This window comes from Homo sapiens, chromosome 1 (assembly GCF_000001405.40).
Source record: "Homo sapiens chromosome 1, GRCh38.p14 Primary Assembly".
In the NCBI taxonomy this organism is placed as follows: domain Eukaryota; kingdom Metazoa; phylum Chordata; class Mammalia; order Primates; family Hominidae; genus Homo; species Homo sapiens.
Genome location: NC_000001.11, coordinates 151,176,031 through 151,192,717, shown reverse-complemented (window position 1 = coordinate 151,192,717; position 16,687 = coordinate 151,176,031). Strand labels below are relative to the sequence as shown.

General features: G+C 47.0%; 1 protein-coding gene across 4 annotated transcripts, besides 2 other annotated features; it reads left to right on the top strand.

Annotated features, from left to right (window-relative positions):
* Window positions 2,377–2,436: an enhancer, noted in NCBI's record as "active region_1711". NCBI's record gives its function as "activates an Ori minimal core promoter by ATAC-STARR-seq in GM12878 lymphoblastoid cells {active_cell/tissue: GM12878}" and the evidence as "EXISTENCE:reporter gene assay evidence [ECO:0000049][PMID:35858748]".
* Window positions 2,477–2,546: an enhancer, noted in NCBI's record as "active region_1710". NCBI's record gives its function as "activates an Ori minimal core promoter by ATAC-STARR-seq in GM12878 lymphoblastoid cells {active_cell/tissue: GM12878}" and the evidence as "EXISTENCE:reporter gene assay evidence [ECO:0000049][PMID:35858748]".
* VPS72 (vacuolar protein sorting 72 homolog) lies at window positions 2,521–16,414 on the top strand. Of its 4 annotated transcripts, none has more exons than XM_017002205.2 (6): window positions 2,521–2,587; window positions 6,768–6,920; window positions 7,098–7,212; window positions 8,225–8,401; window positions 14,573–14,717; window positions 15,654–16,414. In XM_017002205.2, exons 4-6 carry the CDS (start codon window positions 8,236–8,238, stop codon window positions 16,072–16,074), a joined length of 732 nt encoding a protein of 243 aa, XP_016857694.1. In that variant the 5' UTR covers window positions 2,521–2,587; window positions 6,768–6,920; window positions 7,098–7,212; window positions 8,225–8,235; the 3' UTR covers window positions 16,075–16,414. The 4 variants fall into 4 exon arrangements, with proteins under 4 accessions (XP_016857694.1, NP_001258017.1, NP_005988.1 ...); NM_001271088.2 differs by having other exon boundaries at window positions 2,521–2,713; window positions 14,573–14,582; window positions 15,821–16,414; NM_005997.3 differs by having other exon boundaries at window positions 2,521–2,713; window positions 15,687–16,414.
* The last annotated feature ends 273 nt before the right edge of the window (window positions 16,415–16,687 follow it).

The window sequence follows — 16,687 nt, the reverse complement described above, 5'->3', positions numbered from 1 at the left end:
AGTGATTCTCCTGCCTCTGCCTCCTAGTAGGTGGGATTACAGGCACCCGCCAACGTGCTCGGCTAATTTTTGTATTTTTAGTAGAGATGGGGTTTCGCCATGTTGGCCAGGCTAGTCTCAAACTCCTGATCTAAGGTGATCTGCCCACTTCAGCCTCCCAAAGTTTTGGGATTACAGGTGTGAGCCACCACACCCGGCCAAGAACACTAGAATTTATTCCTCCTATCTAAATGTAATTTGGGGCCAAGCGAGGTGGCTCACACCTGTAATCCCAGCACATTGAGAGGCTGAGGAGTGGGGATCACTTGAGCTCAGGTGATCACCGTGGGCAACATGATGAAATCTCATCTCCACAAAAAGTACAAAAAATTAGCCAGGCGTGGTGACACGAGCCTGTAGTTCCAGCTACCCACGAGGCTGAGGTGCGATGATCACTTGAACCCAGGAGGTCGAGACTGCAGTGAGCAGTGATTGCATCACTGTATTCCAGCCTGGGTGACAAAGTGAGATCCTATCTCAAACAAACAAACAAACGAACAAACAAATGTAATTGGGGGCCAGTGTGGTGGCTCACAGCTGTAATCCTAGCACTTTTGGAAGCCAAGGTGGGAGGACAGCTTGAGCCCAGGAGGTCAAGGAGGCAGTGAGCCATGATCCTGCTGCTGCACTCCAGCCTGGGCAATAGAGACCCTGTCTCAAAAAAAATTGTAATTTTGTGTCTTTTTTTTTTTTCTTTTGAGATGGAGTCTTGCTCTGTTGCCAGGCTGGAGTGCAGTGGCACAATCTCAGCTCACTGCAACCTCTGCCTCCCGGGTTCAAGCGATTCTCCTGCCTCAGCCTCCCTAGTAGCTGGGACTACAGGTGCGCGCCACCACACCCAGCTAATTTTTGTATTTGTAGTAGATACGGGGTTTCACCATGTTGGCCAGGATGGTCACAATCTCTTGACCTCGGGATCTGCCCGCTTCAGCCTCCCAAAGTGCTGGGATTACAGGTGTGAGCCACTGTGCCAGGCCCAATTTTGTCTTTTTTTTTTTTCTGAGACGGAGTCTTGCTCTGTTTCCCAGGCTGGAGAGCAAATGGCGCGATCTCGGCTCACTGCAACCTCCGCCTCCCGAGTTCAAGCAATTCTCTGCCTCAGCCTCTCGAGTATCTGGGATAACAGGCGCCCACCACCACGACCAGCTAATTTTTGTATTTTTAGTAGAGATGGGGTTTCGCCATCTTGGCCAGGCTGGTCGTGAACTCCTGACCTCATGATCCACCCCCTTCGGCCTCCCAAAGTGCTGGGATTACAGGTGTGAGCCACAATTTTGTGTCTTTTAACAAATCTTTCCCTGTCCCTTCCTTCCCCCTGCTCTTCCCAGCCTCCAGTATCCTCTGTTCTTTCACTTCTATGAAATCAACTTTTTAAAAGCGTCACATATGAGTGAGAACATGCAGTGTTTTAACTTTCTGTTCGTGGCTTAAGTCAGTTAACATGTCCTCCAGTTCCATCCATGTTGCTGCAAATGACAGGATTTTCTTCTTTTTAATGGCTGAAAAGTATTCCATTGTGTATATACACCCTATTTCCTTTATTCATCTGTTGTTGGACACAGAGATTGATTTCCTATTTTGGCTACTCTAAGTAGTGCTGCAATAAATATGGGGGTGCATAAATATGGAGTGCAGACGTCTCTTGGATATACTGATTTCCTTTTTTTTTTTCCTCCTAAATTGGCTTCCTCAGGTTGAATTATGTCCTTTCCTTTGGATAAATGTCTATGGCTGTGTTTTTAACCACAATACTATGCTTCCTTCCTCAAGGATTTTTGACTTTATCTTGTAGATGATGTGGAGCCATTAAAAATGTTTGAGGACAGGAGTGGCAAAACGTGGGTTTTTAGAAAGTTTCCTACTAGCAGCAGTGTAGAAAATGGACTGGAGCGGAGAGAATGACCTCTTCTAAAAGAAAATGTGAGCTGGGGGCGCAGGCTTATGCCTGTAATCCCAGCACTTTGGGAGGCCGAAGCGGGCGGATCACCTGAGGTCAGGAGTTCGAGACCAGCCTGGCCAACACGGTGAAAGCTGTCTCTACTAAAAATACAAAAATTAGTTGGGCATGGTGGCGGGCGCCTGTAATCCCAGCTACTCGGGGGACTGAGGCAGGAGAATCGCTTCAGCCCGGGGGACGGAGGTTGCAGTGAGCCGAGATCGTGCCACTGCACTCCAGTCTGGCGACAGAGCGAGGCGAGACTCCGTCCCTACGGAAAAAAAAAACCATATATATATATAAAATAAAAATAAATAAAATAAAATGTGTTGACTTAGGGTTATGGGGGTCTTCGTACCACCAAGTGGACTCATTGAGCAAGGGAGATCGCTGGGTACTAGAGCAAGCGGCCTAGAGCATCCGCGCAGGAGTAGGAGAGGCTGAAGAGTAAAGAGGGTTTAGAGGGTGGGACTGGGAGTCTCTCGACACTCTGTTACTTCTGCCTGTAAACGCCCGACTTCCGCCGCTGGTGGCCACCCGCAGGTAGTGATGTCGAGCGTCGAGCTCCCAAAACCGAGCTGGTGAGGGGCTGCAGGTGGCGGCGCAGTCTCGGTAGGCGGTATGAGTTTGGCTGGGGGCCGGGCACCCCGGAAGACCGCTGGGAACCGGCTTTCTGGGCTTTTGGAGGCAGAGGAGGAAGATGAGTTCTACCAGACGACTTATGGGGGTTTCACAGAGGCAAGATCCGGGCCTGGGAAAAGGGAGGGGAGGAGGCAAAGAGGAGCCCTGAAGGGAGAAACCCCGGACAAAGAAGAAGAGGGCGGGGAATAGAGAGGAGCTCTGGGAGCTGATACTCGAGTTGGGTGGGTGAATCGGAGCCGGGGGGCGAGGCGGGGGAACGGATAGTGTGGAGTCCTAGAAGGGAGAGCTCTGGATGGGGTCAAAGGGGCCTGAGACGGAGAAGCTCTCCGGAGGCACTCCAGAGAACAGAGAACGGCAGAAACCTACCGTATACTTGCGTGGTTGCATCTTTCACTGTACTTCTGACGTCCAGCATACACGAGGCACACACATAGTAGTAGACAGTTGCTCGATGTATACTCGTTGGCCCACTGCTGGATTATTCACCTGAGACATGGAAAGGAACCGCTCCAAAAGTAGAGGAGCTTAGCCCACTTCTTTTTCAGCTTTCAGGTCTCAGTGTAAATGTTTTCTCAGGAAGATAACCCTTCCTTGACTATCCTAACAAGTGTCCCCATTTATTTCTTCCACAGAACATATTTCAATTTGCAATTAGATTTGGTTTGCTTACTTGCTTATGCTTTTCTATTGCATTGTAAACTGTATAAAGTTAGAGATGGTCTGTTTTGTTCAACATTATGTGTGAGGTGTCCGGACTGGGCTGCCACTTGCTAAATTTTTATTAGTTGAATCTACCCGTTTATTAAATGTGTTGAGTACCCAGAGCATGCCATCGGTAATAGGTTGTTTTAGGCTCTAGGGAAACAGAATATTAAAAACAGTGCTCTGTCCTTACATACTCCATGCCCCAGTGGGGTAACTGCCTGGGTTAACAGTTAAAATACTGTGTGATAGGCCGAGCACAGTGGCTTTGGCCGGGCACAGTGGCTCACGCCTGTAATCCCAGCACTTTGGAAGGCCGAGGCGGGTGGATCACAAGGTCAGGAAATCGAGACCATCCTGGCCAACATGGTAAAACCCCCTGTCTCTATTAAAATACAAAAATTAGCCAAGCGTGGTGGTGTGCGCCTATAGTCCCAGCTACTCAGGAGGCTGAGGCAGAGAATCGCTTGAACCTGGGAGGAGGAGGTTGCAGTGAGCCGAGATCGTACCACTGCACTCCAGCCTGGGCGACAGAGCAGGACTCCGTCTCAAAAACAAACAAAAAATGTGTGATAAGGACTAAAACAAGGTGTAAGAGTGTTAAGGTAATACATCTGAACCAAAGTTGTTGATCAGGATAGGCATCCCTGGAGGGATGATGTTTAAGCTGAGGACAGTTTGAAAAGTAGACCTTAGCTTGATGAAAAGCAGGAGAAGGAGAAAGGTTAGTCCACAGAGCAGGATGGGCTGAGTATGTAAAGACATTGAGATCCTGGTCTAGGACCTGCAAGTCTACTTTCATTCTCCAGAGCATGAAGGAGACTAAAGATTGATAAGCCTGCAGGGAGTAGGCATGGGCCAGATCCTTTAGGGCCTTGTGAGCTATGTTAAGGAATTTTGCTCTTCATCCAGAGGACTGAGAAGAGTCATCAGAATTCCACGATGAAATTTGTACTTTAGGAAGGTTACTTACTCTGTAATGAGAATGGCTTGAAGGGGGCATGGCAGTAGAGAAACAGAAAGATTCAAGAGAAATTAAGGAATAGAACCCACAGGACTTAGGGGCTGGGTGTGGTGGCTCACGCCTGTAATTCCAGCACTTTGGGAGGCTGAGGCGGGTGGATCACGAGGTCAGGAGTTCGAGACCAGCCTGACCAACATGGTGAAACCCTGTCACTACTAAAAATGCAAAAAATTAGCTGGTTGTGGTGGCGTGTGCCTGTAATTCCAGCTACTTAGGAGGCTGAGGCAGGAGAATCACTTGAACCCAGGAGGCAGAGGTTGCAGTGGATTGCGCCACTGCCCTCCAGCCTGGGCGACAGAGTGAGACTCTGTCTCAAAAAAAAAAAAAACCCACATCACTGACAGAGTCATTACTGACACAGCCCTAACCAACTAGTTTAAAATAGAACTTTCTCATCCCTCCTCTAAGGCCATTTTCCTATTTCTGTCATTTTACGACTTGTTATTTAATATGTACCCTTCATGCTTCCAAAAAGGATTTAAGGAGGCTTACAATATAAACAAAAAGTAGGAACAGTAAAAATAGAGACAGATCAGAAGTAATTGTACCAGGAACCTCTGCTAAAATGGTAATAGCAATTGATATTAAATTTAGTTGTGAGCTTCCTGGTAGCCAAACCTTGTATTTCTTTTTTTAGTAAGAAAGAAGCATACAAGTTCTTCAAGAGACACAAACTTTTTCAGCCTTAAATCCTAGGGAGCATTTATCATTATATCCTTATATTATAAAAAGTAATGGTTTTCATAGATGATATACAAACATTCTCTTTTCTAGTGATGTCTCTTAATGACTCTCAATAAAAGCCGAAGGAATGGTAGTAAATCCTTAATTTAGTGCAAGTATGTTGATTGGGCACTAAGCTAATGTGTGGTTGATCTACTACCCTCTGGTGATATGGCTTAATACCAGATTAAAGCTGAGGGGATTAATGTGTTCCCAGGCTGTCTTTTACAAACATCAGTTAGGAGGAAATGATGGTCATCAGTGCAAAATTGAACTCTGGCTGGCTTGGAGTGTCAGCCATCTGTGTTATTTGCTTGCTTTGGCATCATGTGTACCAAGATTAGCCCATTAGTCTGCATCACTGATTGAAGAGAGAACCACATATGTGAGGTGTCAGCCAGCCCAGTTGACTCCCTCTCCCTCAAGTGGCTTTTTTCCCTTTTCTTTATAATATGGCTGCCATTCTAGCCCTAACCAGTTCACCTGAGGTCTAGGCTGTACTTCACGTTCTCTACTCCAGGCCATCTAACTGCCCCCAGAGCTTTCTGAAATACCCATTGTACATACCATTACCCCTCCCCTAAATCTTCAGTGGCCCTCCATTATCCATAGTAGCAGTACTCAGCTGTTTTTCTGTCCCAACACGCCTGAGGAATGACACATATTTCTCTCAGTAACTTTAGTTTACCTCAACAATGATTATCAATGGTAGGGAAAATAAGGAGATGGAGGGGATTGAGAATCACTGGCCTGCAGGTTAAAAGCGTGTTTATTAGTGTGACATTTAAGTTTCTCCATAAATGGAATGCAACCTTCTTTTCAAATCATACAGTCCTACAGTGCAATCAGTGTTGGAAGGAGGCAGTGCTGGAGCCAAATGCAGTTGGCTAACAAGGTTTCTTGACAGAGAAAAGTTTTACTTAGATCTAAATCCTTATTCCATAAACATGCTATACACATTACCATTTCTGTGCCTTTGTTTCTGCTATTTCATCTGCCCATGATTCCTTCCTCCCTCTTGGCTGTCTAAATACTAACAGTGTTTTCAATCATAGTTTAAGTCCTCTTCATCCTTTTTTTTTTTTTTCTTTTTGAGACTGTGTCTCGCCCTGTCGCCCAGGCTGGAGTGCAGTGGCACTATCTCAGCTCACTGCAACCTATGCCTCCTGGGTTCAAGCAGTTCTCCTGCCTCAACCTCCCAAGTAGCTGGGACTACAGGTGTGCGTCACCATGCCCAGCTAATTTTTGTATTTTTAGTAGAGACAGAGTTTCACCATGTTGGCCAGGCTGGTCTCGAACTCCTGGCCTCAAGTGATCTGCCCACCTCGGCCTCCCAAAGTGCTGGGATTACAGGCGTGAGCCACCAAGCCTGTTCGAGATCCACATCTCAAAAAAAAAAAAGTAAGATTATGTCCTCCCCTTTACTGTAAGCCCCTGAAGGTAGAGACCAAACCATATCCTTTTGTTCCCCAGTACTTAACAGTGTGTTGCAGGTAAAGGGCTATCAATTAATGTTGGAAGGAGGTGGTACTGGAGCCAAAGGCCATTAGCTAGAAAGTTTTCTTGCCTGAGGAAAATGAAGGGCTGGATTAGGAAGGAGAGTAGGGCAGCCCTTATCAAGAAAGTCGAGAGATTCTGTTCCTCCTGAAGGGGCATTAAGGCTTCCATTGCCAGCCAACCCTTATCTCCCTGTGTCCTTAGGAATCCGGAGATGATGAGTATCAAGGGGACCAGTCAGACACAGAGGACGAAGTGGACTCTGACTTTGACATTGATGAAGGGGATGAACCATCCAGTGATGGAGAAGCAGAAGAGCCAAGAAGGAAGCGCCGAGTAGTCACCAAGGCCTATAAGGTACAGGGGGAGTCCTAGTTGTCTTGGATTTCCTCAATTCCTATTCTCTCTTTCATCAGGTCCCAGTACTCCCTATGCCACTTCCATTTCTGGCAATGCTAGTTTTCTCTCATTGAGATCCTCATATTTCTCCTGACTTCTTCTGTTCCCCAGTATCTGATTCCAATCTGTCCTCAGGAACCTCTCAAGAGCTTAAGGCCTCGAAAGGTCAACACCCCGGCTGGTAGCTCTCAGAAGGCGCGAGAAGAGAAGGCACTACTGCCATTAGAACTACAAGATGACGGCTCTGACAGTGAGTAGGGATGTTAGGGTCAATTGGCAAAATTGGAATATAATAATAAAGTATCATATCAGTGTTAAATTTACTGATGTTGCTGGGTGCGGTGGCTCACTCCTAGAATCCCAGCACTTTGGGAGGCCTAGGCGGGTAGATCACCTGAGGTCAGGAGTTCGATACCAGCCTGGCCAACATGGTGAAATTCCGTCTCTACTAAAAATACAAAAATTAACCAGGTGTGGTGGTGGGCCCCTGTAATCCCAGCTACTTGGGAGGCTGAGGCAGGAGAATTGCTTGAACCTGGGAGGTGGAGGTTACACCATTGCACTCCAGCCTGGGCAACAAGAGCAAAACTCTGTCACCAGAAAAAAGTAATAAAAAGAAGAAAAAATTTACTGATGTTGATAACTTACTATGGGTAGGAAAATCCTCATTCTTAGGAAATACACACTGAAATATTTAGGGATAAAGGCCATGATGTGTACAACTTTAGTTACCTAATTTAGATCATTCAGAAAAAAACCACACATAACAAAATGCAAAAGGGCCAAAATATTACCAATAGGTGATGGGGTAAAAGATACATGAGTATTCCTTGTACTATTCTTGCAACTTCGTAGGTTTGAAATTATTTCAGGCCAGGCACGGTTGCTCATGCCTGTAATCCCAGCATTTTGGGAGGCCGAGGCAGGCAGATCACGAGGTCAGTAGTTCAAGACCATCCTGGCTAACATGATGAAACCCCATCTCTACTAAAAATACAAAAAATTAGCTGGATGTGGTGGCATGCACCTGTACTCCCAGCTACTCGGGAGTCTGAGGCAGGAGAATTGTTTGAACCCAGGAAGCAGAGGTTGGAGTGAGCCGAGATCGTGCCACTGTACTCCAGCCTGGGCGACAGAGCGAGATTCCATCTCAAAAAAAAAAAAAGAAAAAAAAATTATTTCCAAGTACAACATTTCAAAATAAATAAATAAAATATGTGGACATGAATTCAAAGATTTCTTCTTATCTCACTCTCTTCCAGGTCGGAAGTCTATGCGTCAGTCTACAGCTGAGCATACACGACAAACGTTCCTTCGGGTACAGGAGAGGCAGGGCCAGTCAAGACGGCGAAAGGGGCCCCACTGTGAGCGGCCACTAACCCAGGAGGAACTGCTCCGGGAGGCCAAGATCACAGAAGAGCTTAATTTACGGTCACTGGGTAAGTCTGTGGTTTCAGAAAAAGTGAGTAGAGGGGCTGAGGGGCATGAGAAAAACCATGAGACCTGGAGGACCAAAGAACTGGAGAGATGGAAATTTGGGATGATGGAATCAGAAGGAAGAAATGGCGGAGAGTAGGTAATTAGGTGCAAGAGTCTAGGCAGTTATGAGCACTCTGAAGAACAAGCTAAGGTACTTTGGTGTAAAATAAGAGTTGTATAGAACTGAGGTCAAATCCTCGTTCTGCTATTCATTTGCTTTAAGTCTGTAGGTAAATTACTTATTCACATTTTGCTTTTCTTGTTTATAAAATGGGGTATATACCTAATGACTCAGGAAATTTAGGCAGGAGGATCACTTGAGGCCAGGAGTTCATAACCAGCCTGGACAACATAGTGAAACCCCATCTCTTAAAAAAAAAAAAAGCAGGGGGTGATAATGTTGACTTTAATGATAATCATGAGAACGTGAAGTCAGCAGATTAGTCCTTCATGAGATAAATTGCTTTAAAAATCTCTTCATTTTATGGTATTGCTTTAAAAATCTCTTCAGTTTGGGCCAAGCGCAGTGGCTCATACCTGTAATCCCGGCACTTTGGGAGGCCAAGGTGGGTGGATCACTTGCAGTTGGGAGTTCCAGACCAGCCTGGCCAACATGGTGAAACCCTGTCTCTACCAAAAATACAAAAATTAGCTGGGCATGGTGGCGCATGTCTGTAATCCCAGGTACTTGGGAGGCTGAGGCAAGAGAATCATTTGAACCTGGGAGGTGGAAGTTGCAATGAGCCGAGATCACACCACTGCACTCCAGCCAGGGCTACAGAGCGATTGGTTTGGACCACTGTAAGGAGAGTGACTCCCAGGTTTTCCTTTCTTTTTTTTTTTTTTTTTTTTTTTGAGACAGAGTCTTACTCTGTCGCCCAGGCTGGAGTGCAGTGGTATGATCTCGGCTCACTGCAAGCTCCGCCTCCTGAGCTGGAGATTCTCTTGCCTCAGCCTCCCAAGTAGCTGGGATTACAGGTGCCCGCCACCATGCCCAGCTAATTTTTTTGTATTTTTAGTTGAGATGGGGTTTCACCATGTTGGCCAGGCTGGTCTTGAACTCCTGACCTCAGGTGATCCACCCGCCTCACCCTCCCAAAGTGCTGGGATTACAGGCTTGGGCCACCCCGCGGCAATTCCCAGGTTTTCAACATCAGTAACTGGCTTAGGAGACCCTGAAGGAGGAGCAAGTTCAGTGGGGAAAAAACAAATTTATTTTTGAACATGTTGAATTTAAGGAGTTTGTGAGCAATTCATGCAGTGATGAGAGGTCAGTTAAATATGCAAATCTGGTGTTCCAATAAGAGATCTGGGCTGAAAATACAAATTTGGAAGTCTTTAGAATATGGGTGGTAATTGACAATATTGGAGTGCATCTGAGCATGTAGGGAGAAAGCTCAGAGTGAGAAAACAGAGGCCTGATAGAGTCCTGCAGACACTAAAATGTGATAGTTTCATACAAGAGGAGGAGCTTTGAAAAGAGCCTGGAAGTGACCAACGAGTTGGAGAAACCCAGGAGAGTTTGTGTTAAAAATGCCAGGAAAGAGAATGTCTCAAGAGAGTAATTGCTGCTGAGACGATGATTAGTAGAACTGAGAAGTGCCCATTGGTTTTGGTGAGATAGAGGTCAGACATTACCTTAGCACTTTTTGGGGACCAAGTCGAATCAAAGTATATTGGGGAGCAAAACTTTTCAAGCTTGGCCATGAAGGGTAGAAGAGGGAATGGAAGCTACAGAGGGGTGTGAGATTAAGGTAAAGTTGTTTTTATTTTATTCGAAGATATTAGAAATTATGTCTTTCATGAGAAAGAACTGAGTTTAAAGAAAGAGAAGAAAAAACGGTTATTAATAGTGTAGGTTTTTGGAGATGGGAGGCAAGGCTGGGAACCAGAGCAGCATGGTGGAGGAATTGGCTTCAGATGGGGGAAGGGAGAAAGAAAGTGTGGTGGCCGGGCGCCGTGGCTCACACCTGTAATCCCAGCACTTTGGAAGGCTGCGGCGGGTGGATCATCTGAGGTCAGGAGTTCGAGACCAGCCTGACCAACATGGAGAAACCCTGTCTCTACTAAAAATACAAAATATTAGCTGAGTGTGGTGGCACATGCCTGTAATCCCAGCTACTTGGGAGGCTGAGGCAGGAGAATCACTTGAACCCGGGAGGCGGGGGTTGCGGTGAGCCGAGATCGTGCCATTGCACTCCAGCCTGGGTAACAAGAGTGAAACTCTGTCTCAAAAAAAAAGAAAGAAAGTGTGGCTTAGCTGAGTGCAGTGGCTCATGCCTGTAATCCCAGCACTTTGGGAGGCCAAGGAAGGAGGATCGCTTGAGCCCAGGAGTTCAAGACCAGCCTGGGCAACATAGTGAGACCCTGTCTCTGTTTAAAAATGTGGCTTACAGTTGTAGGTTTGTAATCCAGAGGGAGGGCATGGCGGAGGTTCTCACCTGATGTCTTTTTCATTATGCAGCACCATCTGTCAAACATTAAGGATACAGCTGGAAGCTTGAGGAGACTGAGGAGCATTTAAATAGTTATTGATGTGGGATATTGAGCAGTATTGAGGGACCTGCTGAAGGCTAGGACCATGAATTTATGGTGGTTCCAGTCTGTGCTGTTATTTTTCTCCAGTAGCACTCAGCAGTCCAGATCAGGGCAAGGGAATTATTGACAGGAGAGTGACTGAAGTGATTGAAATGATACAGTGAGCAACCTAAGCATGATTTAAAAAGGAAAATGTGACTGGGCGCGGTGGCTCACATCTGTAATCCCAGCACTTTGGGAGGCCGAGGCAGGCGGATCACAAGGTAAGGAGTTCGAGACCAGCCTGGCCAACATGGTGAAACCCCGTCTCTACTAAACATACAAAAAATTAGCCAGGCATGGTGGTGCGTGCCTGTAGTCCTGGCTACTCGGGGGGCTGAGAATCACTGAGGAGAATCACTTGAACCCGGGAGGCGGAGGTTGCAGTGAGTGGAGATCGTGTCGCTACACTCCAGCCTGGGCAACAGAGTGAGACTCAAAAAAAAAAAAAAAGTAAAGTGACATGGAAAAGAAGGTTGTTAGAGATGAGGTGATAAACTGTGGCCATGCAGTGTTGAAGGGGCTACCCATGTGCACTTCGAAGTCACCAGGGTGACCCTAAGATGATGGGAATTGGGGTAGAGACGAAGAGTGGAAACCACTGCCAAAGTCTTCAGTGAATGAAGGAGTGACCATGACTAGGAAGGAGAGAAGTTAATCTAGACTCTTGGCACAGGTCTCAAAAGAGAAGGGAGTTTGCTGGTAGGCAGAAAAGCAGTGCTCTGAAAGCTACAGGGTGGGGCCCAGTAGGACATAGGTATATCCTGTAGGGATGTAAGAGAATGAGCAACCTCCACCAGAGGTCTGCAGAGAGGAGTGGTGGCCTCAGTGAATGACCAGGTTTCTGTTAAGGCAAGTCATGGAAGGAATGCTGAGTGAGGAGCTTGAGGATATAGATGAGTTGGCAGATTACAGAGCACGAGTTCCAGAGGGTGTAGGCAAGTGTTTGAAAGTAGAGGGGTTGGGCCAGGCGTGGTGGCTCACGCCTGTAATCCCAGCACTTTGGGAGGCTGAGGTGGGCGGATCACGAGGTCAGGAGTTCCAGACCATCCTGGTCAACATGGTGAAACCCCGTCTCTACTAAAAATACAAATATTAGCTGGGCATGGTGGCACGTGCCTATAGTCCCTGCTACTCAGGAGGCTGAGGCAGGAGAATTGCTTGAACCTGGGAGGGGGAGGTTGCAGGGAGCCGAGATTGTGCCACTGTACTCCAACCTGGCGACAGAGCAAGACTCTGTCTCAAAAAAGAAAAAGAAAGTAAAGGGGTTGAGGCGTTGGAAGACTGGCTCAAAGGAGAGAAAGCAGTATTATCAAACAGTTCAAGTGCAAGAGAGGTTCAATCATTGGAAGGGTTTCCAGAGTACTCTTTTTTTTTTTTTGAGACGGAGTCTTGCTCTGTCACCCAGGCTGGAGTGCGATGGCACAATCTCAGCTCACTGCAACCTCCGCCTCCCAGGTTCAAGTGATTGTCCTGCCTCAGCCTCCCGAGTAGCTGAGATTACAGGTGCAAGCCACCACGCCCAGCTAATTTTTGTATTATTAGTAGAGACAGGGTCTCACCATGTTGACCAGGTCTGTCTCAAACTCCTGACCTCAGGTGATCCACCCGCCTAGGCCTCCCAAAGTGCTGTAATTACAGGCATGAGCCACCGCACCTGGCCTCCAGAGTACTCTTTTATGGTCAGACTTTAGGGAATTGTGTTCATCATAACCATATTTAAGGACACAGAAATCTGGAGTTCATTCAGAGGAAGGGGACGAGGAATATTTTGATTCATTTTTTTTCGTATGTTTGTTTTGTCTTTGGAGATGGAGTTTCACTCTTGTTTCCCAGGCTACAGTGCGATGGTATGATCTTGGCGCACCGCAACCTCCGCCTCCCAGGTTCAAGCAATTCTCCTGCCTCAGCCTCCCGGTAGCTGGGATTATAGGCATACACCACCACATCTGGCTCATTTGGTATTTTTAGTAGAGACGGGGTTTCTCCAAGTTGGTCAGGCTGGTCTCAAACTCCCGACCTCAGGTGCTCTGCCCACCTCAGCCTCCCAAAGTGCTGGGATTACAGGCGTGAGCCACCGTGCATGGTGATTCTTTTTTTTGAGACGGAGTCTCACTCTTTTGCCCAGGCTGGAGTGCAGTGGCGCGATCTCAGCTCACTGCAAGCTCTGCCTCCTGGGTTCACGCCATTCTCCTGCCCCAGCCTCCCGAGTAGCTGGGACTACAGGTGCTCACCACCACGTCCAGCTAATTTTTTGTATTTTTAGTAGAGACAGGGTTTCTCTATGTTGGCCAAGATGGTCTTGATCTCCTGACCTCATGATCCGCACACCTTGGCCTCCCAAAGTGCTGGGGTTACAGGTGTGAGCCACCAAAAAAAGCCCAGCCCTTTTTTTTAAATTTTTAAAATTATTTATTTTTTTGAGACAGAGTTTCGCTCTTATTGCCCGCGTTGGAGTGCAATAATGCAATCTCACTTCAACCTCTGCCTCCCAGGTTCAAGCAATTCTTCTGTCTCAGCCTCCCAAGTAGCTGGGATTATAGTCATGTGCTACCACGCCCGGATAGTTTTTGTATTTTTAGTAGAGACGGGGTTTCACCATGTTGGTCAGGCTGGTCTTGAACTCCTTTCCTTAGGTGATCCACCCACCTCGGCCTCCCAAAGTGCTGGGATTACAGGCATGAGCCACTGTGCCCAGCCTTGATTCATTTATTCATTAACAAATATTTAATGAGTGCCTGTAATGTGGAAAATGCTGTATCACCCTGATAATATTTAGGCAATATGAGTTATAGTCACTGCCCTTAAGGAGGAGACATATATACCAATAGTGCATCGCCATGGAGCAGTATCACGGAGACCAGGCAGGTAACATGAAGTGTGCAGCCAGCCAGAGGGATGGTGGTGAACTGGAGAGGAGTGCCTGAAAGGAGGAACAGTTACTCAGCTCAGCTAATTGTTCCCCTGTAAGAATGCAGACCCAGGGTTGCGAGATTTTCTTGTTGTTTAAGAGCGACCAGAAATCTCTATATTTAAATATAATTTCCTACCTTACTAATTTTTTTTTTGGAGATATGATCTCACTCTGCTGCCTAGGCTGGAGTGCAATGTGGTGCCATCTCAGCTCACTGCAACCTCCACCTCCCTGGCTCAAGCGATCCTTCCACCTCAGCTTCCCAAGTAGCTGGGATTACAGGCGTGTGCCAGCACACCCAGCTGTAGGAGTGAATTGACAGGGCATTTGTAGAGGAGATTTTGGTATCTGGGAAAGCAAATAAGCTCCTCATCAAAGGGTACCTTCCAACTCTGAGGTACTATAGAGGGCCCAGGTGTACTTGAGAAATGAGCAGAGAGGATGTCAAGAAAAAACTTATAAGCAGAAAACTTACAAAATGGGAGGTGCCAGACGGCCTTAGGGGACTTCCATAGTTGTCTCTGGTAGTTGGCAGTGACTAGATAGCCAGGAAGATAATTGAGAGATCGTGGGACAGTACTGGGATATGGGAAAAAGGGACATTCTGATCATCCCCTCATTTCTTCCTTTGACCCTAAAGAGACATATGAGCGGCTCGAGGCTGATAAAAAGAAGCAGGTTCATAAGAAGCGGAAGTGCCCCGGGCCCATAATCACCTATCATTCAGTGACAGTGCCACTTGTTGGGGAGCCAGGCCCCAAGGAAGAGAACGTTGACATAGAAGGGTGAGTGAATCTCAAGAGGAAAAGAGATTGTGTGTTCAGCTCATGTTCTCTTGGCCCCATTTTGCTTGCTTTTCTCACACAGCTCTCCTTAACACTTGGAGATTTCTTTCAGATTCCTAACTCCCTTCAGCTCAATTTCTTTTTCTTTTTTTTTTTTTGAGACATGATGCTGCTCTGTCACCTAGGCTGGAATGCAGTGGTGCAGTCTCGGCTCACTGCAACCTCCACCTCCTGTGCTCAGGCGATCCTCCCACCTTAGCCTCCCAAGTAGCTGGGAGTACAGCCACACATGCTAATTTTTGTATTTTTTGTAGAGACGGTTTCGCTGTGTTGCCCAGACTCCTGGGTTAAAGTAATCGTCCCGCTTCATCTTCCTAAAATACTGGGATTACAGGTGTGAGCCACCGCGCCCAGCCCAGCTTATTTCTTTCTTATTCCTTTTTCTTTTAGCTTCTCTGTTCTTCTCTTTCCTGTTTTTCCTTCTAGCCTAGCTTTCTTTTCCCATCAGTCACTTAGTACGTTCCTCAGAATGTTCCCAACACCCTGCCTCCTTTTTCTCTTTCCTCATCTCTCTGATTTCCTTCTTTCTTTCTTTTCTTTTTTTTTTTTTTTTGAGATGGAGTCTCGCTGCTCTGTCACCCAGGCTGGAGTGTAATGGCACGATCTTGGTTCCATGCAACCTCCGCCTCCTGGCTTCAAGTGATTCTCCTGCCTCAACCTCCTGAGTAGCTGTGATTACAGGCATCCGCCACCACGCCCGGCTAATTTTTGTATTTTTAGTAGAGACAGGGTTTCACCTTGTTAGTCAGGCTGGTCTCGAACTCCTGACCTCGTCATCTGCCTGCCTCAGCCTCCCAAAGTGCTGGAATTACAGGTGTGAGCCACTGCACCCAGCCTGATTTCCTTCTTTCTGTATCTGTTGTCTTCTCTCCTCAGCTCTTTGTGTTTTTCCTTGTCTTTTGTCCTCAGACTTGATCCTGCTCCCTCGGTGTCTGCATTGACTCCTCATGCTGGGACTGGACCCGTCAACCCCCCTGCTCGCTGCTCACGTACCTTCATCACTTTTAGTGATGATGCAACTTTCGAGGAATGGTTCCCCCAAGGGCGGCCCCCAAAAGTCCCTGTTCGTGAGGTCTGTCCAGTGACCCATCGTCCAGCCCTATACCGGGACCCTGTTACAGACATACCCTATGCCACTGCTCGAGCCTTCAAGATCATTCGTGAGGCTTACAAGAAGTACATTACTGCCCATGGACTGCCGCCCACTGCCTCAGCCCTGGGCCCCGGCCCGCCACCTCCTGAGCCCCTCCCTGGCTCTGGGCCCCGAGCCTTGCGCCAGAAAATTGTCATTAAATGAAGAGATGTCTAGTCCTCAGAAACTTCTTTCCTGCCCTGATTGGGGCTCTTGCTGTTCCGTTTCTTCTCCCTGCTTCTCCCCTTTGTCATCTCTGATCTTTGCCTAATCTGTTTCTTTTTCCTTTTCCCCTAGTTCTTACAGGTTTCGTTGTGTTTTTTAATCTAATAAAATAGAAAGATCCCTTTTGTCTGGTGTCCAGTCTAGGGTTGGGAGCAAGAAGTATTTGAATACCTGCATATATTTGGGTCTTTATTCGATAGCATTTATTATGAGCTGTCCTTTCTAAATTGTATTCATTCCTCCAACTAAATTATAAACATCTGAAAATTGCACACCAAAACACATCCTTGTATTGACCTTCCTATCACTTTACACTCACTGTTTTGAATACAGCAGGCACCAAATAAGGAGGAACTGGCTGATTCTAGTCGAACTCATATGTCTCAGACTGGGGCTTGTATGAAGGGAAGTGGAAGAGATGCCATGGCTGTTAATGACCACTAGAGGCTCTCAGGGCTGGGCAGGGTATGGGGGCTGTGTATATGTGATCTCCCACTACCCCCCACCTGGCCAGAGCTAAAATAATAAAATGCTGAGCTCACTGTTCCCCCAC

Excerpts from the sequence above, each read along its gene's own strand:
- VPS72 (NM_001271087.2), top strand. The coding sequence starts at position 2,597 with ATGAGTTTGGCTGGGGGCCGGGCACCCCGGAAGACCGCTGGGAACCGG. Across the intron at positions 7,213-8,224 it reads ACAAGATGACGGCTCTGACA|GTCGGAAGTCTATGCGTCAG; the intron begins GTGAGTAGGGAT and ends ACTCTCTTCCAG. Across the intron at positions 14,718-15,653 it reads GAGAACGTTGACATAGAAGG|CTCTTTGTGTTTTTCCTTGT; the intron begins GTGAGTGAATCT and ends TTCTCTCCTCAG.